The sequence below is a fragment of the Homo sapiens genome, chromosome 5 (genome assembly GCF_000001405.40).
Source record: "Homo sapiens chromosome 5, GRCh38.p14 Primary Assembly".
Lineage (NCBI taxonomy): Eukaryota > Metazoa > Chordata > Mammalia > Primates > Hominidae > Homo > Homo sapiens.
This window is the reverse complement of record NC_000005.10, coordinates 18,970,775-18,991,535: the sequence shown is the minus strand read 5'-3', so window position 1 is coordinate 18,991,535 and position 20,761 is coordinate 18,970,775. Positions and strand designations below refer to the sequence as shown.

The 20,761-nt window shown below is 34.0% G+C and overlaps 1 long non-coding RNA gene across 2 annotated transcripts; it reads right to left on the bottom strand.

Moving 5' to 3' along the window:
* Positions 1–1,097: 1,097 nt before the first annotated feature.
* Positions 1,098–19,128, bottom strand: LOC105374669 (uncharacterized). Of its 2 annotated transcripts, XR_925815.1 has the most exons (5): positions 19,025–19,128; positions 7,833–7,898; positions 7,267–7,311; positions 5,435–5,486; positions 1,098–1,411 (listed from the first exon to the last, which is right to left on the bottom strand). It is a non-coding gene; the product is annotated as an uncharacterized LOC105374669 (long non-coding RNA). The 2 variants fall into 2 exon arrangements; XR_925817.1 differs by lacking the exon at positions 7,267–7,311.
* Positions 19,129–20,761: the final 1,633 nt, after the last annotated feature.

Below are 20,761 nucleotides of genomic sequence, written 5' to 3'. Positions count from 1 at the left end.
CTTCTCTCACTGGTTTTCTCAGGCTGACTCCACTGATTCCAAAATCTTTCTCTTCCTGAAGCTACTCTCTCATTTTGCTAGAGCAAACTCAGTTCTCATGAGAAGACACTGGGAACAATGTTGCTCGAAGCTGTGCATGGAAGCAAATATCTTTATTCCACTCATATTGAATTAATATTCTAGATTATTGATTCTAGTGGAAAATATTCATTCTTCAAAAATTTGAAGACATTATTACATTGTTTTTCAATATCCAGTGTTTCAATTGAAACATCTGCTGCCATGTTTATTCTTAATTTTTGGTTCACATCCTTTCATTGCTGGTGATGGAAGAGGTGGTCTCTGCAGTCTTGATAATGACCTTAATATTATATGATGATGCTTACAATGGGTTTTTTTAAAATTACACCAAACAAATTAATTTTCAAGGTCTCATTTTTCTCAGATTACTTTTTTATTTTTATTTTTTATTTTATTTATTTATTTATTTATTTATTTATTTATTTTTGAGACAGAGTTTTGCTGTGTTCCTTAGGCTGGAGTGCATGGCACAGTCTCAGCTCACTACAACTTCCAGCTCCTGGGTTCAAACGAATTCTCATGTCTTAGCCTCCCCAGTAGCTGGGATTACAGGCATGCTCCACTGTGCCTGGCTAATTTTTGTATTTTTAATAGAGACAGAGTTTCACCATGTTGGGCAGGCTGGCCTCAAACTCCTGGCCTCAAGTGATCCACCTTCCTCAGCCTCCCAAAGTGCTGGGATTACAGACATGAACCACTGTGCTCAGCCTCAGATTACTTTTATATCAAGGCATCTAATTCTGATGTATGTATGACTTTCTTCATATATACTAAATATAGTAATTGAAGTTTCATGTGTTTTAGTTCTCCCAATTATTAACTGGTTTTACCTAGTTTATTCAATTTCATGTTAATGCATCTTGTTTATTCAATCAGAAAAAGGCACTAAACTCAGATATGTTAGTTTTGAATACAAGTTTGGTGCTTCTCGACTGTAAGTTTTTTTTTTTTTTTTTTTTTTTTTTTTTGCATTATGTGAAAACAGGCAGGACAAAACGCCTCAATGCTAGGGACAAATGAAAAATGTGGCTGTTATTTTTTTCCTGTATTTATGTTTTTTGCATTTCAATGGTACTACATTAGATTTCTTGTTTGCATTAATTATGTCATTGATACATAAGCCTGCACTTTCACTGAATCTGAAGCTTCACATGCCTTCTCTGTTTTCTACTTCCTTCTCTGTTTTCTGCCTCCTTCTCTGTTTTCTGCCTTCCTCAACTTAAGGAAAATTTTGGTGTTTTGTAGGGTATTTCTTCCCCCAAGTCTTTCATTTGCTGATTTGCATCTCCATTTTCTTTGTCATTGTGGAGTTCTAATATGCCGTTTTTAACTAGAAATGTAGAAAACAAAGACAATTTCAATGTAGATGAATAAATCAAATACCATAATTAACACTGTGTTTTATTACTTTTAAACTTAAAATTTTATTTTTAAATTGCTTTTAAAGTTCTATTTGTAAATTACAACCCTTTCTGTGAAATACTGCCCTTTATTTTTAATTCGTTACTCCTATTGTTTTTATTAACCTATATTTATTTTCTGTGAAGTTATAATAATTGTATACTAATTTTATATGATTCACTTTGAAAATAATTGGCAATGCTACATTATTGTGTCTTACTTAAAAAAACATAATCTATAATGTAATACATTAGATAGTAATGGTGAGAAGATCAATTTGATACAGCAATTTTTGATATGGTATTTGGTTTTATGTCTTCATATCAAATATTTTAAAATGTCCAAAATGTAAGTTTCTTAAAAGCACGGGTTATATGGACCATGTCTTTTTCAGTAATTGCAAATATTGAATAAGGTATCAATAAATATCTACCAAATGAGTGACACTGGAGATGCTCAGGTATAAAAATAACACACACACACTCACATACATACACACACACACGCACATGCACACACAGAGAGAAAGAGAGACAGAGCAAGGGTGAGAATAACTTTTACATATTACAATAAATATAGACAAGCCTTGACCTCTAAATGTATAAAATATTCTATTGGTAAATAAAACAATTAGGAAAATGAAATTCTGGCCCAAGAGGAAAGACAAGCAGAAGAGTGATAAAAAATAATATTAATCCCATAAACTTGTATGGCTGCCATGAGGGGAAAGTTTTGCCCTGTTTCTTATGAAACCACAAGAAAGAAAATTGGCGGTTTTATTTTATTTTATAAATGATTCCATATGTCTATTATGATTAAGTCACTGATCTACGTATGTTACAAATATTAATTCATTTAAACTGTATACTATACTTTGAGATTGTTTTTAGCTACATTTTATATATGAGAAAATGGAGGCAGAGAGGTTTAAGATTCTTGTTTGTCAGCATACATCTAAAAAGTATTAGAACCAATACCGGAATTAGAAAATTAGATTCCAGCTTTTGCAAGCTTAACCACTAGCCTTCAATGCCTTATATAACTATCTAAACACAGAAATATTGAACTAAAAGGGCACAATAATGTAGGCACCACTTTACTGCTTATGTGATACACCATGGACATCAGTGTAACTTAACAACGTTAAGTATCTGTTTTGTTGACTAGTGAATTGGCATGCTGTCTCTGAGTAAACACACTGTGAGGACGTAATAAAGGGAAATGCAGACATGTTTTATTGTACATTGTTTTAGATTTGTTTCTTTGGTCTTTAGTAGTCTAACCAAATCAAAGATACTAAAGTACCAACAACTACTGTGAAATTATGTATGAATATATATATACTCATATATATGCATATATTATTCATATCCATATAAACATATATAGGTATGTATCACTTATCTATTAGATATAGAAATAAAACATATAGTGAACTAATTTAGAGAAAACAAATAACATATGAACAGAGATTTAACATAAATCTTAATCAAAAAGCACTAACCTTATACATATATTGACATTTGCCCCTTTGTATTTAATTTATGTTCAGAATTGCTGGGTAAAATTATTGAGAATAAGAATCTTTTATTGTATCACATGAACACACTTGCCTATCAGAATGTATAATTTTTTCTAGATCTATGGAAGCAATCAGAGAAGGCATAATCCTTCCTAAATTATATCTCATTTATTAGAAATAGGCATTTTTTATTCTTTCAAAGTATTTATAATTGGTTCATCATCTATATGTTCTTTAGTTTAAGAATAATGACTAGACTGGTCTCAATATAAGAACTACACATATCACTTTAATGTCTGTTATCAGGAGATATAGTTTGAGGACTTAGCAAAATACTTTGTGGTAGAGTTCATGAACTCACAGCACATTGTCTGGTACTGTTTGAAAACTTTTTGTGTAAGTGCTTTTCATGTATGCACTAGTGTGCATATGAGATAAAAAAGAGATTCATTACATTTAATCATTTTTAAGTTATCACTGTAGAGGAATATTTTGTACCAAATTCTGTAGCATTATTGCTTTAACTGGATTTTATGATTCAGGCTTCATCTTTTACCTGTTACAAAATATTTCCATGATTTGCCTAATTTCAAATCTTCCTTTAAATTTTAAATTAATTTTAAAACATTCGTCATCACAGAGAATTGTTTTTCAATTTATAATTAAAAATTTATATTTACCTTATTAAATAATGGCATTTATAATACTGTAACTATTGATTGTGTTACAATAACCATTTGCTGAACTAATTACTGGCGTACAGGAAACAATAAAATTAACTTTACTCTGACTTAATGTACTTGATACTATCTAAATAAAGATAATAAAAGTAGTATTATATAATTATTATTTAACTATTTTCTTAACACTAAAATGTCTCAAAATTGTGGATTTGATACTGCCTACTTATTTTCCTGATTAACTAAAGGGAATTAATATTTACTTTGCACTGCAAATGTGTCAGGACCTTCTAAGTGAGGCAAAAGTGAATTTGGGCCTGTTCTGGCAAGAGCACAAAATGTAATGTAATGAGGGCATAAGGGTTTGTAGGGAAGTTATAGAAAGATAAAACAAAGAACATTTTTTTAGGATGCTCTTGCAGTAGGTTTTAAGCAGCAGGGTAAGAAATCTGGGTTTAGTGAGGTCAGTGGTGAGAATCCATCAAGAACTTTTTAGCAGGGCAATAATAGGATTAGAACTGTGTTTTAAAAAGATAAAACTAAGAGCTGGACAGGGAATGAATTTGGAGCATGAGAAGATTAGAGGAATTAACCTGTCAGGAACTTTCGGTAGACCAAGGGTGAGTTAGAACAGTGGCAGATAAAAATGACACCTGATCATTGCATAATGCTTCCTAATTTGATTTCTTTCCCATTGTATCATTTGACTTGCATTGCACAGCAACCTCACTAAGAAGGAAAGGGCAGATTCCAAAAAATACATTGTATTATATTTCTAGAGTCTCAGAGAGTAAGTGAATTGTGTGTAAAGAATCAATAAACAGAAGCCTTTGTTTTGAACTTTAGATATTTTCAAAAGAAACAATATGTAAACAAATATTTAATAAATGCCAAATGATTGACAATGAGGGAGAGGAATATCAGTGTTGGAATGTCACAAAGACCCTTCTGCGAACTGGGAGAATGCTTACACTGAAAGAGAGAGTCACAGGAAGGAGTTTGTTTGGGGGTGGGGGAGGGAGAGATGATCACAGTTGTCCTTTCTTTGGTTTTCTATTTTGTTTTGTTTGTCAAGAACAAAACAAAAAAAATGCATTAGATTTGTCACACTTAGGACTCTACCTTAAATACTTTAGTCCCAGATTGCTAAATCACAAAATTTGTGGGGATATGTCAAGGGAAGCAAAGGCAAAATGATCGACTACACATGCAAAAAGATAATATCACAGCAGAAAAGCTACTTGTAACATGTCTATTTTCATCACCTGATATGTTTCTCTCTCCCTGTCTCTCTCTTTCTATATATATATATGTACACACACGCACACACACAATTTCAAAAAGAGCATTGAAATGAAAATGTAATGGATATATTACACTGTCTGGGCCCACTGATGTGACGTACTAAAAGGCAAGACTTTAAGATCATGTCAGTGGTTGCCAGGGATGGTTATACAACCTCATATCTGTCTCAAAGCTGTACACACCTAAAATAAGTTGATTTTACTGTATGTGAATTGTACCCAACGTGAACCTAATTTGAATGAGAAACAGAATTTACTCCACTTATATTCCTTTTGGGGGAAAAACAAATTAAATTCAGGCATGTATATATAGAATGAATATATATATATATAATTTGGTTAAATTTCTAAATGTATATTTTTACAAATAAACGTGTGTGTGTGTGTGTGTGTGTGTGTGTATATATATATATATATTTAACCAAATTTAACCAAAATTGAATTACCTGTATATCGGCTTTCTATCTTCATGAAATGTAATTGGCATTGGTGGCCATCCTTCATTTTAGAAAAATAAACAGTTAGAATTCCCAAGAATCAGCCTAACAAGTTGTCGGAAATTAACAAGCCAAGCAAATTGTTCTGGGCAGAACATCTAAGAGAAAGTTGTTACTATAAAAGATCAATAAGTGACAAGATTCTTTTACTTACTGATTCATTAACCCAAAAATATTGATTAGCATATATAGGTCAGGAGTTGGTACCATATTCTAGGAGCTGGTATCAAAGATAAACACAGCCGGACATTAGTTAAATCAGTAAAAACGGATTTTATTCACTAACTACTAACAGTGGAGGAAAGAGCTGTGCTCATTCTGATGTTTGCAGGTAACTGGGAATTTTAAAGAAAGAATGAGGGAACGGGTGGGTAGGGACTCCAGCAGAGCCAGGAAGTAAAAATTTACAAAGGATTGGTCAGTGTAAACGCAATTAGGCCAGCTTTTCTGCTAGCTGGCTATTATAGAAGAAAGAGTTCTATTGTCCCACAGAGACTGGGATGCAGAGGCCCGTCCTCCTTGATGATTAATTACATTTCAAAGGAATGGCTTTCACGTCCTTAAAAAAGACACTTCTGAGTTATAGGTGATACATACATATCTCAAAGGGACAGAGAAAGTATTCATAAATGTAAGCTATTTTTAGTAATTGCTCTAAGGGAGGTCAGGGGCCTATCTCCTATGTTGGCCATAACAAGAAGTCTATGGCTATAACAAGCAGTCTATCTATTCTCCTGGCAGTGCTGATCATTTCTCAGGCAGGCATTTTAGTGGGGAGGTTGGGGTCATCCTAGGGACAGGAATTTATGCTGCTAGAAGCCATGCTAGAATTTGGTCATCTCTTAGTGCAGAGGTCTGGACTGAATTATTATGTGCGGAGAGTTCTACATTTCTCAATGGGTACACAGAAGAAAACAAGACAAAAACCTTGCCTTCATGAGGTTTGTATTCAAACAGGGCAGACTTATGATAAACTAATGGATTTATACATAACACAAAACCTGATAGTAAAAAAAAAACAAAACAAATTAGAGCATCAATTCAACTGGCATTCGCCCTCGTAATAAATTTTCAGGGTTTCTGAAACTCTGGGAAGTTTTCAACTTTTATTGGTGATTCATATCAAATTATTACCTTGCCCCAAGGCACAATAGTAATCTTTCTTTATAATGATGTTGAAGAAAATGATAGAAGCCTTCTGTTTACCTTGGGTCTGGATCAGCAACATCTTACTTTACATATTTACTTGTCATTCTCCAATCCCCTAGGGGTGGATTTTGCAATATTATATATGAAGCATTGTTCTCAGTGTTCTCGCATGGATTAGAACATTTTATTCCTAGCAACCAACCTTGATAGATGCCGTTATCGTCATCAACTGCAGTTGCCAGTGGAGACAACCGAAGCAGAGCTTTCTAAAGTGACTCCTCATGGAGGTCTTTTACCTCAAAGCTAGCTTGTAGCACCTGTGTCACATTTGATCCTAGGTAGACTGGACCCAGAGTCTACATACACTTACTCTCTATCTTTTCTTTATGTCATTAACAGGAAGGCTATATACCTTTAAGGCACACTTCACGGTGAACCTGCCTTGGATATGATTATAGAAAAATCAAAGAGCACTGCAGTTTGAGACGTGATCTTCATTCTTCTACTTAAAAGAAAAAATTCTCATGGAAATGGTTTGCAATACCTCTTCCATACCACAAAAAGTCAAACTGTTTCTTTTTCTTCTTTTGATAGTAAATAACACTGGACTTGTAGCATGGAAAAGAGATTACCTTTATTTTGCTAAGTTCCTGAGATTTGGGAGACTTTACTGCAGCCTGTGAAGATACAATAACGAATATGCTATCTCAGCATTAATAAAATAATAGCTAGTACCTTTAAAAAGAAAGCATTCTCATGCCAGGCCCTGTGCTGGGCTATTTATATACCTCTGCTCCCTAATGTTAAATAAGCAATATTAACACATTTATGTGGAATGGGAGCATCTTTATAACAACCATGTGCATTGCCTAGATAATTACACCAATTTTACAGTGTTGGAAACTAAAACTCATGAGAATTCTGTGCAGTGCCCAAGGGTCCCCAGCTAATGGTCTGTCTGACTTCAAAGTCTGTTCTCTTTTAAGCTACCATCTTGCCCCCTGGCTCACCTCACACTTTTAAAGCATCCTCTGCCTTTGCCTTCAACTTGTGACAAGTTTTGACTTCTTTTAGAGTGAACATTTCAAAGGAAAATAAATTGCTTGCACTGTGCCTCTGGGAAGTGACAAACTGTTACATTGAGAATAGCATCAGATATGGAAAAGATACAGGAAGTTCATTTAGGCAGTAACAATACCTTGGAAAGGAGAAGAGAATTACTGCTGGAGGTGACAGAAAAGTTGGTAATGAGTGTTTTCAGTTCCTAAAAGAGTGCAGAAGAAAATGACTCAATTTCATAATAAAGTCAAAAATTAAACATTTGTACCTGAAATTGATAATAAAACATTAATGTTGGTACATCAATTAAAACCTATTGAAAAAGTATACTTCATGACCATAAATTTATTTGTAATATGAGAAAAAGTACATAAAAAGTATCATAGATTCATTTCAAAATGCAAATTCTATTCGTTAGTCTTCATTTACGATTGTATGAGCATATTCACATGGCGGCAGGCTGGGTAGTGGCCTCAAAGGTATATTGACATCCTAAATATCAGAATTTATAAATATTACCATATATGGGAAGAGTTAATATTATCTTCCCAATGGGAAAAGATAAGTTAAGAATCTTGAGTTGTTTATTCTGGGTTATCAGTATGGGTCCTAAGTGAAATCATGTGTAGTCTAACAAGAGAGAAACAGAGGAAATTTTGGTACAGGTACACACATAAAGGAAAGTGATGTGAAGATAGAGGCAAAGATTGCAGTGATAAGGCAATAAACCCAGGAAGGCCGGTAGCTACCAGAAGCTAGAAGAGGCAAAAGATGGATTCTCCCTTAGATACTCCAGAAAGAATACAGTCCTACAATACCTTGATTTTTCAGTCTGGCCTCCGGAAATGTGAAAGGATAGATTTCTGTGTTTTTAAGCCACCAATCTGTGATAATTTTTTACAGCAGCCATCGGACTTTCATATAGCTTTTGGCAACAGGAAATGAAGTGCTGCTATAACAAACACTTAAAAATATGGAGATGGCTTTCACATTGGCAATGGGGAGAGACTGGAATAATTCTGAGATGCATGATAGCTGTAGGGAATTAATACATGTTGTTAACCAAAAGAAGTATACATGTCTCAGTACCATGCTGTTTTGGTTACTGTAACCTTGTAGTATAGTTTGAAGTCAGGTAATGTGATGTTTCCAGATTTTTTCTTTTTGCTTACGATTGTCTTGGCTATTTTGTCTCATTGTTGGTTTCATATGAATTTTAAAATAGTTTTTTCTAGTCCTGTGTAACAGGCTCACAGACAAATGGAAAAAATAGGGAGCCCAGAAATAAGGCCACACATCTACAATCATCTGACCTTCAACAAAGATGACGTAAAGAAGCAATAGAGAAAAGACTCCCTATTCAAGCAATGCTGCAGGGATAACTGTCTAACTATATGCAGAAGATTAAAGGTGGACCACTTCCTTACACCAGACGCAAAAATCAATTCACAATGGATTAAAGAATTACATGTAAAACCCCAAACTATAAAAACCCTGGATGACAACCTAGGCAAAACCTTCCTGGACATAGGAAATGGCAAAAATTTCATGACAAAGACACTATAAGCAATTACAACAAAAGCAAAAATTGACAAGTGGGATCTAATTAAACTTAAGAGCTTCTGCACAGTAAAATAAACTATCAACAGAGTAAACAATCTACAGAATAGGAGCAAATATTTGCAAACTATGCATCTGATAAAGTTCTAACATTCAACATATATAAGAAACTTAAATTTACAAGAGAAAGCCAACCCCATTAAAAAGTGAGCAAAGGACATAAACAAGCACTTCTCAGAAGAAGACATACATCGGGCCAACAAGCCTACGAAAAAAAGCTCAGTATCACTGATCATTAGAGAATTACAAATAAAAACTATAATGAGATACCATCTCACACCAGTAAGAATGGCTATTATTTAAAAGTCACAAAAATAACAGATGCTGGTGATGTTGAAGAGAAAGGGGAACACTTATACACTGTTGGTGGGAGTGTAAATTAGTTCAACCATTGTGCAAAGAAGTATGGTGATTCCTAAAAGAGCTAAAAGCAGAACTGCATTCAACCCATCAATCTCATTACCTGGTATATACTCAGAAAATATAAAGCATTCTACCATAAAAACACATGCACACAGGTGTTGATTGCGGCACTATTGACAATAGCAAAGACATGGCATCAACCTAAATGCCCATCAATGACCGATTGGACAAATAAAATGTGGTGCATATACCCCATGAAATATTATGCTGCCATAAAAACCAATGAGATAATGTCATTTGTGGGAACATGGATGGAGCTGGAGGCTATCATCCTTAGCAAATGAATGCAAGAACATAAAACCTAATACCACATGTTTTCACTTATAAGTGGGAGCTAAATGATAAGAACACGAAGGAAGCAACAGATACTGGGCTCTACTTGAGGATGGAGGGTAGTGGGAAGGAAAGGAGCAGAAAAGATACCTATTGAGTACTGGACTTAAGACGTGGGTGATGAAATAATATGTTCAACAATCCACCATGACACATATTTACATATGTAAATATACATGTACCCCCAAACCTAAAATAAAAGTTAAAAAAGAAAGAAGTGTACAGTCATCAACATTCACTCCAATTACTGCTGCTTTATAAAAGAATATTATAGGTTACAATGAGTTAGCAAAAATTTTGGGACAAAAGCAATCTACATGGAGCAAGTGAATGAACCAAATCATTCATTCATATCAACCATTCTCGTAATGACTGCATAGTATTCAGCCACTTTCTCATTACAACCTAGCCTAACCAATATAATTTGCATACACACTTGTTTTTTGCCTAGAATTTTCCAATCATTTCCTTAATCTAAGTTCCTAGGTTAAATGCATTCATTATTTTATGTTTTCAAAGGTTTTTGTATCTACTTGTACATTTTCTTTCTTTATTTTTATTTTTTTATTTTAGATTTAGGGGGTATATGTCCAAGTTTGTTACATGGACATTTTGCATAATGGTGATGTTTGGGCTTCTAGTGAACTTATCACTCAAATAGTGAACATTGTACCCTATAGGCAATTATTTTCACCCTAACCCTACTCCCATCCTCCCATTTAAGAAAGTCTGTAATGCTACTATAAAAAAGTCAAAAGATAACAAGTATCAATGAAGATGAGAATAAAGAACCCTTATACCTTGTTGGTGGAAATGCAAATTGGTATAGTCATTAAGAAAAACAGTATGGAGGTTCATATTAAAATTAAAAATAGAATTACCACATGATCCAGCAATCCCATTCTGGCTATATATCCAAAGTATATAGAATTGCTGTCTTACAGAGATATCTGCATTCCCATGTTCACGGCCATGTTATTCACAATAGCCAAGGTATGGAAACAAACAATCTAAGTGTCTGTTGACAGAAAAATGGATAAAGAAAATGTGATATGTATGTACCATCAATCTAAATGAGAGACTGATACAGGAATCTCAACCTAATGAGGTTTATTAAGATGGAGCTTGAGGATGCGCACCCAGGAAGCCAAGATTACAGTAGCCTGTGTCGATTACATGAAACACAATACTTATATAGTTTTTGTTTTTTAGCAAAGGGATAAGTACAATACACAATACAGAGGATGGGCAGCAAAGCACATGTTACATTTTTGCAAATTTGATTAGTGTCCAGTGATATTTATACATAGAACAAATATGTGGTTGAGTGGGTAGGAGGAAAAGATTAATAATTGTGTAGGCATCTTAAGAGTCTGGTGGGAGGATAATTGATTTCATTCTACCTTGTTCTACATTCAATAAACAAGGTTAATACCAGTACTTGTCAATGAAATATTTAACATACTTCAATTACATAGGCAAGGGGTCAGCTTTTGCTTATAGACCCTGAGGTTACAGCTTTCTATTTATGGGAGATTACAGCATGCAATCCTAGCTACCATAGCTGCCTTTGCACCTCTGCACATCCCTGGGCCAGAACTGAGATTTAGAACAGGCCTGGGTTGATTAGTTCTACTTTCTCTTTTATGTCTTTTCACAATACAATGGAATATTATTCAGCCTTCAGAAAGAAGGAAATCTTGCCATTCGTGATACCACGGATGAACGTGGAGATCATTAAGCTAAGTGAAATAAGCCAGACACAGAAAAACAAATACTGAATTATCTCCCTTATATGAGGAATGTAAAAAATTTCAACACATACCAACAGAGAGTAGAAGGGTGTTTATCACAGGTGGGGGAGGACTTGGGAAAAGGGGAGATGCTGGTCAAAGGGTACCAAATTTCAGTTATAAGATGAATAAATTCTGGATACTGAATGTACAGCCTGGTGACTACACATTAGTCTCTTCTTATCCATGGTTTTCCTGTCTGCAGTTTCAGTCGCCTGTAGTCAACTGTAGTCAGAAAATAGGTGAGTACAGTGCAAAAAAGGATTTTGAAAGAGAGAGACTACATTCACATAACTTTTATTATAGCATATAATTGTTCTATTTTATGATTATACTGTTTTTAATGTCATAGTCTCCCTAATTTATAAATTAAACTTTGTCACAGGTATACATATATAAGAAAAAAACCTAGCATGGTTAGGATTCAGTACTCTCCGTGGTTTCAAGCATGCACCAAGTGTCTTGGACCATATTGCCAGTGGATAAAGAGGGACTACTATAGTTAACAGCATTGTGTTATACTCTTGATGTTTCCTAAGATATCAAATCTCCACATTCTCACAAAGAAAGGTAATGATGTGAGATAATGGATGTGCTAATTAGCTCGACTGTGGTAATCATTTCACAATGTACCTGTCTATCAAAATATCATGCTGCATACCGTAAATAAATACAGTGTTTATTTGCCAATTATACCTCAATAAAGCTGAAGAAAAAGGAAAAAAAAAATGTTTCTACCAATTATTTCCTACAGCAACAAAAGAGAATGACCTTTCCTCATATATTCCACCCTAAACGGTGAAGGAGCAGCATTACTCTTTAGATTTCTGCCAATCTGCAGACAATATTATTTTGTAATGAATTAAGCTTATTAGAAACAGGACTGAAATCATTTTAAATGCTTGACATTTTCGTTTTTTCTCAAGTAGATTGTCTATCATATCTTTAGACACACTGGAAAAAGAAGTGTTTAATGATTTGGCAGCTTTGTTCATAATACAGTTATTTCACCCTTCTCTGTTTTACAGAACAATTGCAAATATTGTTCTAGATTGATAACAGTGTTTCTCATTTTTAACTTCAATATTTAGTTCACAAGAATATGTCATTTTTTGCTCTCAACTGTCAGCCTTGGACTTCACAATTCTTACCCTTAAGAGTAGTGTTTATGAAGTGGTTTAACACAAATTAGCTAGCAATTTTAAATAGAAATTTTAACTTGCACATGGTTTTATTTTCTAGATTTTAGAAACAACTTATACTATAGTTATGTTAATTGAGATATAAATCAAGCCAGTAATTTTGAAGTTAATAGTCATTTTTTCTCAAACTTTTATAAATAATGCATACATTCCTTCTTGACAAGTACTATAATTATAATAATTGCTATGGTTTAAATATTCACTCCAAAACTCATGTTGAAATTTAGTTGATTATAAGTATTAAGAGGACCTTTAAGAGGTAAGCAGGCCATGGGGACTCTCATGAGGCCTTTGCCAGATGACAGCATTTTGATCTTGGACTTCCCAGATTCCAGAACTATGAGAAAATGAATGTCTGTCCTTATATATTACCCAGTCTCAGGTATTCTGTTACATCAGCAAAAAACAAACCAAGACAATCAAATCTTACACGCTTGATTTCTTTTCTGTATGTTCTATTCTAATGTATTAATTTATGCATCTTTTTGTTTTTGCTTACACTTGATTTTTATATGGACTCTAAAAATTTGCTATTGTCTGTTATAGCTCCAGTTATTACCTGTCTTCCAAATTTTAAAAAATTATTTATATATTTTCCTATCTTCTCTAGATCATTCTATTATTGAAATTTTCATATCAAACACACATTTTTGCTTACAGAAATTCAAGAGAGTATGAGATTTTTTTAAAAACAAAACTTCATATTGTGTTCAGATTTCACTAGTTTTTTAACTTTTTTTGGTTTTGTTTTTGGTTTTGTTTTTTACTGTTCCTGAAACCCATTAAGGATACCATATTGCAACTAGTTGTCATGTCTCCTTATTTTCTTGGTCTGTAAGAATCTCTGTCTTTGTTTCTCATGACAATGTCACTTTTAAAAATTACAAGTCAGGTATTTTGTAGGATATCCCTCAATTTGTATTTAAATGATTTTTCATTCCTCAATAATAGACGTAGGTTATAGGTTTCAGAAAAGAGTATCACAGAGGTGAAGTCTTCTCTTATTACATTTTTTCAGGAGTTACCTGATATCTACATGGCATCAACAGTCATTTTAACTTTGGTCATTAGATTAAGAGAGTGTTTGGCAAGTTCCTTCACTTTACATTTACTGTTTTCCTTCTTATATCCAGGCTGTTCTTTGGCCTAGAGTTACTTAGTCCAGTTTACCCCAAGGAAAGTATGGGGAAATCATGTTTCTCTCTTGGTAGAGGAGAATGTCTGTATATGGCTATTTTATTTGGGATATTCTGTAAAAAATAGTTTTCTCTTCTTTACCTATTCAATATTTTATTTTCTCGATATGGGTTATTGTATATTTATTTTATATTTTGGATTATATTGATTACTCTGTTATTTATTTTTTTGCTTAAATCATTTTAGCTAAAACTTTTGCATGTCTTTCAGATATTTAGAAACCAAGATCTGGGTACGTGGTGTGTTTGTTGCTACTGGAATGTCATTTCTTATAGACAATAATTTATTAATATATATTAACTCATGTATACACACAGAGTAGAAAGAAAAATGATATCTCAAAATTTTCCACATTCTAACTGCCAGAGTCTTGAACTTGTTATGTTGTAAGTCTAGGAGGGATTAAGGTTGTACACAGAATTGGGGCTGCTGATTACCTGATTGTGAGATGAGGAGATTAACCTGAATTATCCGGGTGAGCCCTGTATAATCACACGGATCCCCATAAGGGAGAGAGGGAAGCAAGAAAGTCAGTGTCAGAGTGATGTAGTGTGAGAAAAACTCCAGCTATCATTGCTGGCTTTGAAGATGAAAAAGAGACCGTGTGCCAAGGAACGTAAGGAGACTCTAGAAGCTAGAAAATGAAAGACGATCCTACTCCAATGCCTCCAGAAGGAACACAGTCTTAATGACACCTTAGTTTTAGCACTACAAAACCAATTTACAACCTCTGATCTTTCAGGACTTTAGGACAAAAAGTTTGTGTTGTTTTAAGCTACTAAGTTTGTGGTGTTTGCCACGTTAGCAATAGGAAACTGTTATATATATATACGTATATATATATGTATATACGTATATATATATGTATATATGTATATATGTGTATATATATGTATATATGTATATATGTATATATATACACACACACACACATACATATATATATATATATATATAAAATTGTGTTTTTACCTGTCTAATTATACTACTACTAAGCTAAATGTGAACTCATACGGATGCCTCCAACTTAAATTCAGTATGATGGGGTTTATTCCAACCTTCCCTTATTGATTATAACCTTCTTTTCTGATAATAAGAATTCTGGCTCCCACAATCTACCATCCATTTATTTATTTGTTTAAATCTTATATTAATTTAACAAAGTTTTAAAATTTGTAACCTGTATCTCTATGAGAAAAAAATATATATCAACTAGAGTACAGCACTTATGTTCAGTTTGTTTGTCATTAGCCTTATGGTTTCTAGCGAAAACAGCATTTTCCATAGTTACATAGGTCATTTCCTCACACATGAGTTTTTACCTTCCACTCTTTAGTCTTCTTATCTGATACATTTATAAAAGAATTTGTATTATCCCTCAACCTTCTGGTCGAGTTTCTGTGTACATGATTGTGGTTTGTTTGGGTATTCTGTTTTCGTTTTTGGTTTGCACACATGAAAATTTCCTCTTTGTTATGTACAAATCAATGGGTTTTCACAAATGCACAGTCATGTATCCACAATCCCAACACCGCATAACAGTTCCTCCAACTTAAAAAGTTTTTTTCATCCTTTGTGGTCAACCATTCCCCATACCCATCTACTGAAAACCACAAATTTGTTTTTCATTCGTAGAGTTTTGCCTTTTCCAGAATATACTATGAATGGAATCATACAATACATAACGTTTTGGTCCTGACTTCTTTCCCTCAGTAAAATACATTAAAGATTCGTCTATGTTGTTGTGTGTATCACTAATTAATTTCTATTTATACATACATAGTATTCCATTGCATGGATATATTGCAGTTTGTTCATTTCTGTGATGAAGGATATCCTGGTTGCTTCTAGTTTTTAGTGATTATGAATAAAGAAGCTCTCAACATCCCACAGGATGGTCCTTGGATGGCCTTTGCTGACCCAGATTTTTCCCCTTTTTTTGCCCGTAGTACTCAGAAAAATTGCAGAAGGCAACATCCTGAGATAGGAAATAAAAAACAAAACAAAGCAAAACAAAAAATCCTGTCCAAAATAGCCTAGGCTTTGGTTCTTTCATTCTTAGGAAATGCAACTTCTTGAGACAGCAAACTGCTCAGGCCAGCCCAGGCATTGCTATTGTCCCTCCTAGAGCAAAATCTTCTACAATGCTTTATTCCAGAGATTCTCATTTCCCTTGGGGCATCAAACCCAGAGTGGACTGGTTTTGGGGTTTCTCAGCTGCAGTGCAAGTGGGGCATGATCAAACAAAATTCCATCCACCCTGGCCAGCTTTTCTGAGCCTTAGGAGACGGGCTGGTTATGAATCCTAGGCTTCCATTGTCCCTTGCTGCTTATCTGTAAGTAATAATCCTGCTTTATGCAACTTGTGATGTGTGTGAGTATTCTGTATCACCAGACTCAGGAAAATAGTAAAAGTACAGCTAAAGACGCAGTGGGCTGAAGTGTATGTATGGACTCCTTTTTCTGGTAGTTAGCAGGTGATGCACTTTGCTATCCTCGATGCGGTGGAAGTTCCTTATTGTAATTGGTAATAAGTGAACCTGTTTCACAAATCCATGTACATATTTTGGCATAAGCATATGTATTTAATTCACTTGGTAAATAACTACGAATGAGATTACGGTTTTCTATGGTATATTTATATTTCTCTTTATAAGAAAATGCCAAACTGTCTTCTAAACTGACTATAGTATTTTGAATTTGCATCCATAATGAATGAGTGTTCCTGTTCCATAACCTTACTGGGATTGCTTATAGTCAATTATCTGTATTTTAGCCACTCTGGCTGGTGAGCAGGAGTAGATTGCTATGCTTTTAATGTGGATTTCCCAGATAGCAAATAATGTTGAGCATCTTTTTTATCGGTTTATTCATTATCCATATATCTTCTTTGAGAATTTTTTCTGTTCAAGTCTTTTGCTCATTTGTTTAATTGGGTTGCTTGTTTTCTTATTGTCGGGTTTTAAGAGTACTTGGTATATTTTGGATATAAGTCCTTTTTCAGATATGTAATGGAAAAATAATTTCTCCTAAATCTTGTCTTTTTATTCTTTTAATAGTGTCTTCTTCAGAGTAAAAGTTTTACTTTTGTTGAAGTCCTCCAATTTATCACTTTATTTATGGATTATATTTTTAATGTATTTCAAAAACTGTTAAACCAAAGATCACACAGATGTTCTCTCTCTCTCTCTCTATCTCTCTCTCACACACACACACACACACATATTTTAGAGACAGGCAGGGTCTCCCCCTTTTGCCCAGGTGGGGATGTGGTGGTGCAGTCATAGTTCACTGCAACCTTGAACAACTGGGCTCAAGAAATCCTCTCACCTCAACCTCCGAAGAAGCTGAGACTACAGGTGTGCACCACTGCACTCAGCTTTTCTTTTTAATTTTTAGTAATGATGAGGTCTCACTATTTTGCCCAGGCTGGTCCAAAATTCCTGTCCTCAAACGATCCTCCAGCCTCAGCCTCTCAAAGTGCTGGAATTACAGGTGTCACCCACTGCGCCTAGCCCTGTACATTTTTGTTATAGCTTTACATTTTATATTTAATTATGTTATCCATTTCTAGTTAATGTTAATAAGATGTGACTCATGTGTTGCAGTGCATATTTTTACATATGGACATCTAATTGTTCCAGTGTGCTGGGACCCAATTGTTAGGTGTAGATTGTGAATAGATACCACTTATTTGATTAATGAATCTTTCTTCTATCTCTATTTCTATGTTGCTGGCAGATTTTAGCATAAATAGATGTTAAATTTTATAGAGTTTTCTGCATGTTTATTTTTATTTTTATTTTTATAGATTTGGGGGTACAAGCACAGTTTTTTTTACATGGCTGTATTACATAGTGACATCTGTGCTTTTAGTGTAACCATCACTCAAATGGTGTACATTGTATCCAATAGGTGATTGGTCATCCCTGACCTCTCTCCCACCATCCTACCTTTCTGAGTCTCCAATGTCTATTATTCCACTTCCTATTTTCATGTGTACATATGATTTAGCTCCTACTTATAAGTGAGAATATCTAGTATTTGACTTTCTGTTTTTCAGTTATTCCACTTAAAATAATGAACTCCAGTTTGTCCATGTTGCTGCAAAAAGTATGATTTCATTCTTTTTATTGCTGAATAGCTTTCCATGGTGTACACATATACCACATTTTTAAAATTCCAGTTCTTCATTGGTGGACACTTAGATTGATTCCATATCTCTCCTATTGTGAGTAGTGCTGAGATAATAATGCAGGTATCAAGGACGATTGCAGGAGAGTCAGTTGATTTTGATTAAAAAAAAAAGACACAAGAGGAATGGTTTACCTTGCTTCATTGTATATAAATGTGGTTTGGGAAGTAGCTGTCTTGCAAGAGACTGCACCTCCTAGCCCCATTTCAGTGTGAATAGGATTATATGACCACTCCTTGAATGAAAAAGATGAACGTTCACTTTGAGGCTGAAGTGGTTAAAAAATGTTCCTTTGCGTTTTGTCTGGTCCTTCTGGAAGCTGAATATTTATACCAAGTCAACTTTGAAAATCATGTACTAAGCTGACAGGGCATCCTTCAGCTTAGCTCCCTACATAAATTTGAAAAGCAGAAATTATTTACCCTCATATTAATCTAAAACATTTACTTTGAATTTTTAAAATAATAATAAATTCATGTATAAATGTTAATCCACTGAAAATTTGGACTTGGTAATAGCTATCTGTGTTATTTTTCCTAACATAGAAATTGTTATCAGAAGTGCTTACCACTACACACAGCAGGTGACAAAGACATATTTATCAAAGGCTTGGGAAATGAATACCCTTGTTGTGCAACTGGTAGAACTGTTTCCTGCGATAATTCAGAAGACAGATGTAGTTTTCACAGTGCCTGTAGCTAGGGAAGCATTGGAAACACAATGTTAGTAGAATGCTGATTGTTACTTGCTGCATTCTGAAAGCTTTTGCATTCTGTTCTGCTAAAACGTGTTTATTTTATGCAAATTCTCTCCTATACACATGGTGAATAGGGGGTGATGTTAATATAATGCAGGAAATATGCTGGATTTTTTTTTTATTTTATAGCGTGTTGATATTTTGAACCACTTAGTGATAGCAACCGGCTGCGCAGTATATTAATAATGATGAATACAACAGAGAAATGCAAAGTGGTACATGATAATCCTTCAGGCTTCTTTCTTCCTCTTCACTCAGTTTGGCATCTGGTCTGTACTGAAAGTACTTCTCACAGGGAACTGGAGATCTTGGTGTTTTGTGTCACACTCTGCTACCTCATTACTTCCTTGGACCCATTTCCATCAAACTATCTTTACTGACAATTTTAAGATGAACTTCTACATTTACCAAAGTAAATAGCTGTCTTCATTCCAACTTTAAAATACATATTTGCTTTGCTTTTGTTAAGGAATTTTAAAATTATTATTGTAACTGCTTTGATTATAGAGCCACATCCATTTCTATTGACCTGATGCTGCATTTTATTTCTCATCTGACTCAATTTTGGGAATCATAAAGTTTTTCATAAATATATTATATTGCATTTCAACTGAAATATCTATAGAAGAAAGAGGAAAACTCAAGAAATAATTGTTTGATTCAAGAGTGGACTTGAAATGAGCTAGAAAGATTTCAAAGTTTGAAAACTGAAAGGTTTGAAAAGGCAAACCTTGTAGATCCCAAACAGTCTGAGCTAAGATTCTAAAAACACCTTTGAGCAATAAAGTTCTATTGAGCATTCCCAGTCATCTATAAGAATTTATCCCTGTCCAAAGTTGAAACTAAGTTTACTGCTTTTCCATACAACCTTTTTTTGTTTTTTTTTTGGGGTTTTTTTTTTTTTTGAGTTTTTGTTTTGCTTTGTTTTTAGGCTTCAAATTAGCTTTCACTAACTTAAGAATGTAAGGTATTGGAGCAAGGTGGCAAATACATCAGTTCTAATTATTATATTAAAGAAATATATTTGGATATGGTTAAAGACACACGAAACAGATGAGAAACAAATGAATACGATCCCCATGCATATAAATTACATATTGCCAGTGAAATATCTTACTTAAAATCATCATTTACTGTGGAAGTATTTAAATAATGTACAGGTCCTCAAATTGAGTAAGTAGAAATTAGTCTCTGAAAGCTTACCTTGGTAATTCTCACTTGAGATATGGTTATGGGAAATAATCTACAAGAAAGTTGTCCGTGCTGGGATACAGGAGCCATGAACAACAATGAATAGTGGGGTTTCTCCCAGTTAGCAGAATTAAGAGATCGTGGTGATTATAGTTAATACCAATATATTTACCTTTCTGGGGTGTATGTTAAAAAAAGAACTAACAATAGATTGCATATTTAACAAGTGCTAACAAGTAGAATTTACGTGTACTTACCATAAGGAAAATAAATGTGTGAGGTAATGGATAGGTTAGTTAGTTTGATTTAGCCATTCATAATGTATACATATTTGGAAAGGCTGTTGTACATTATAAA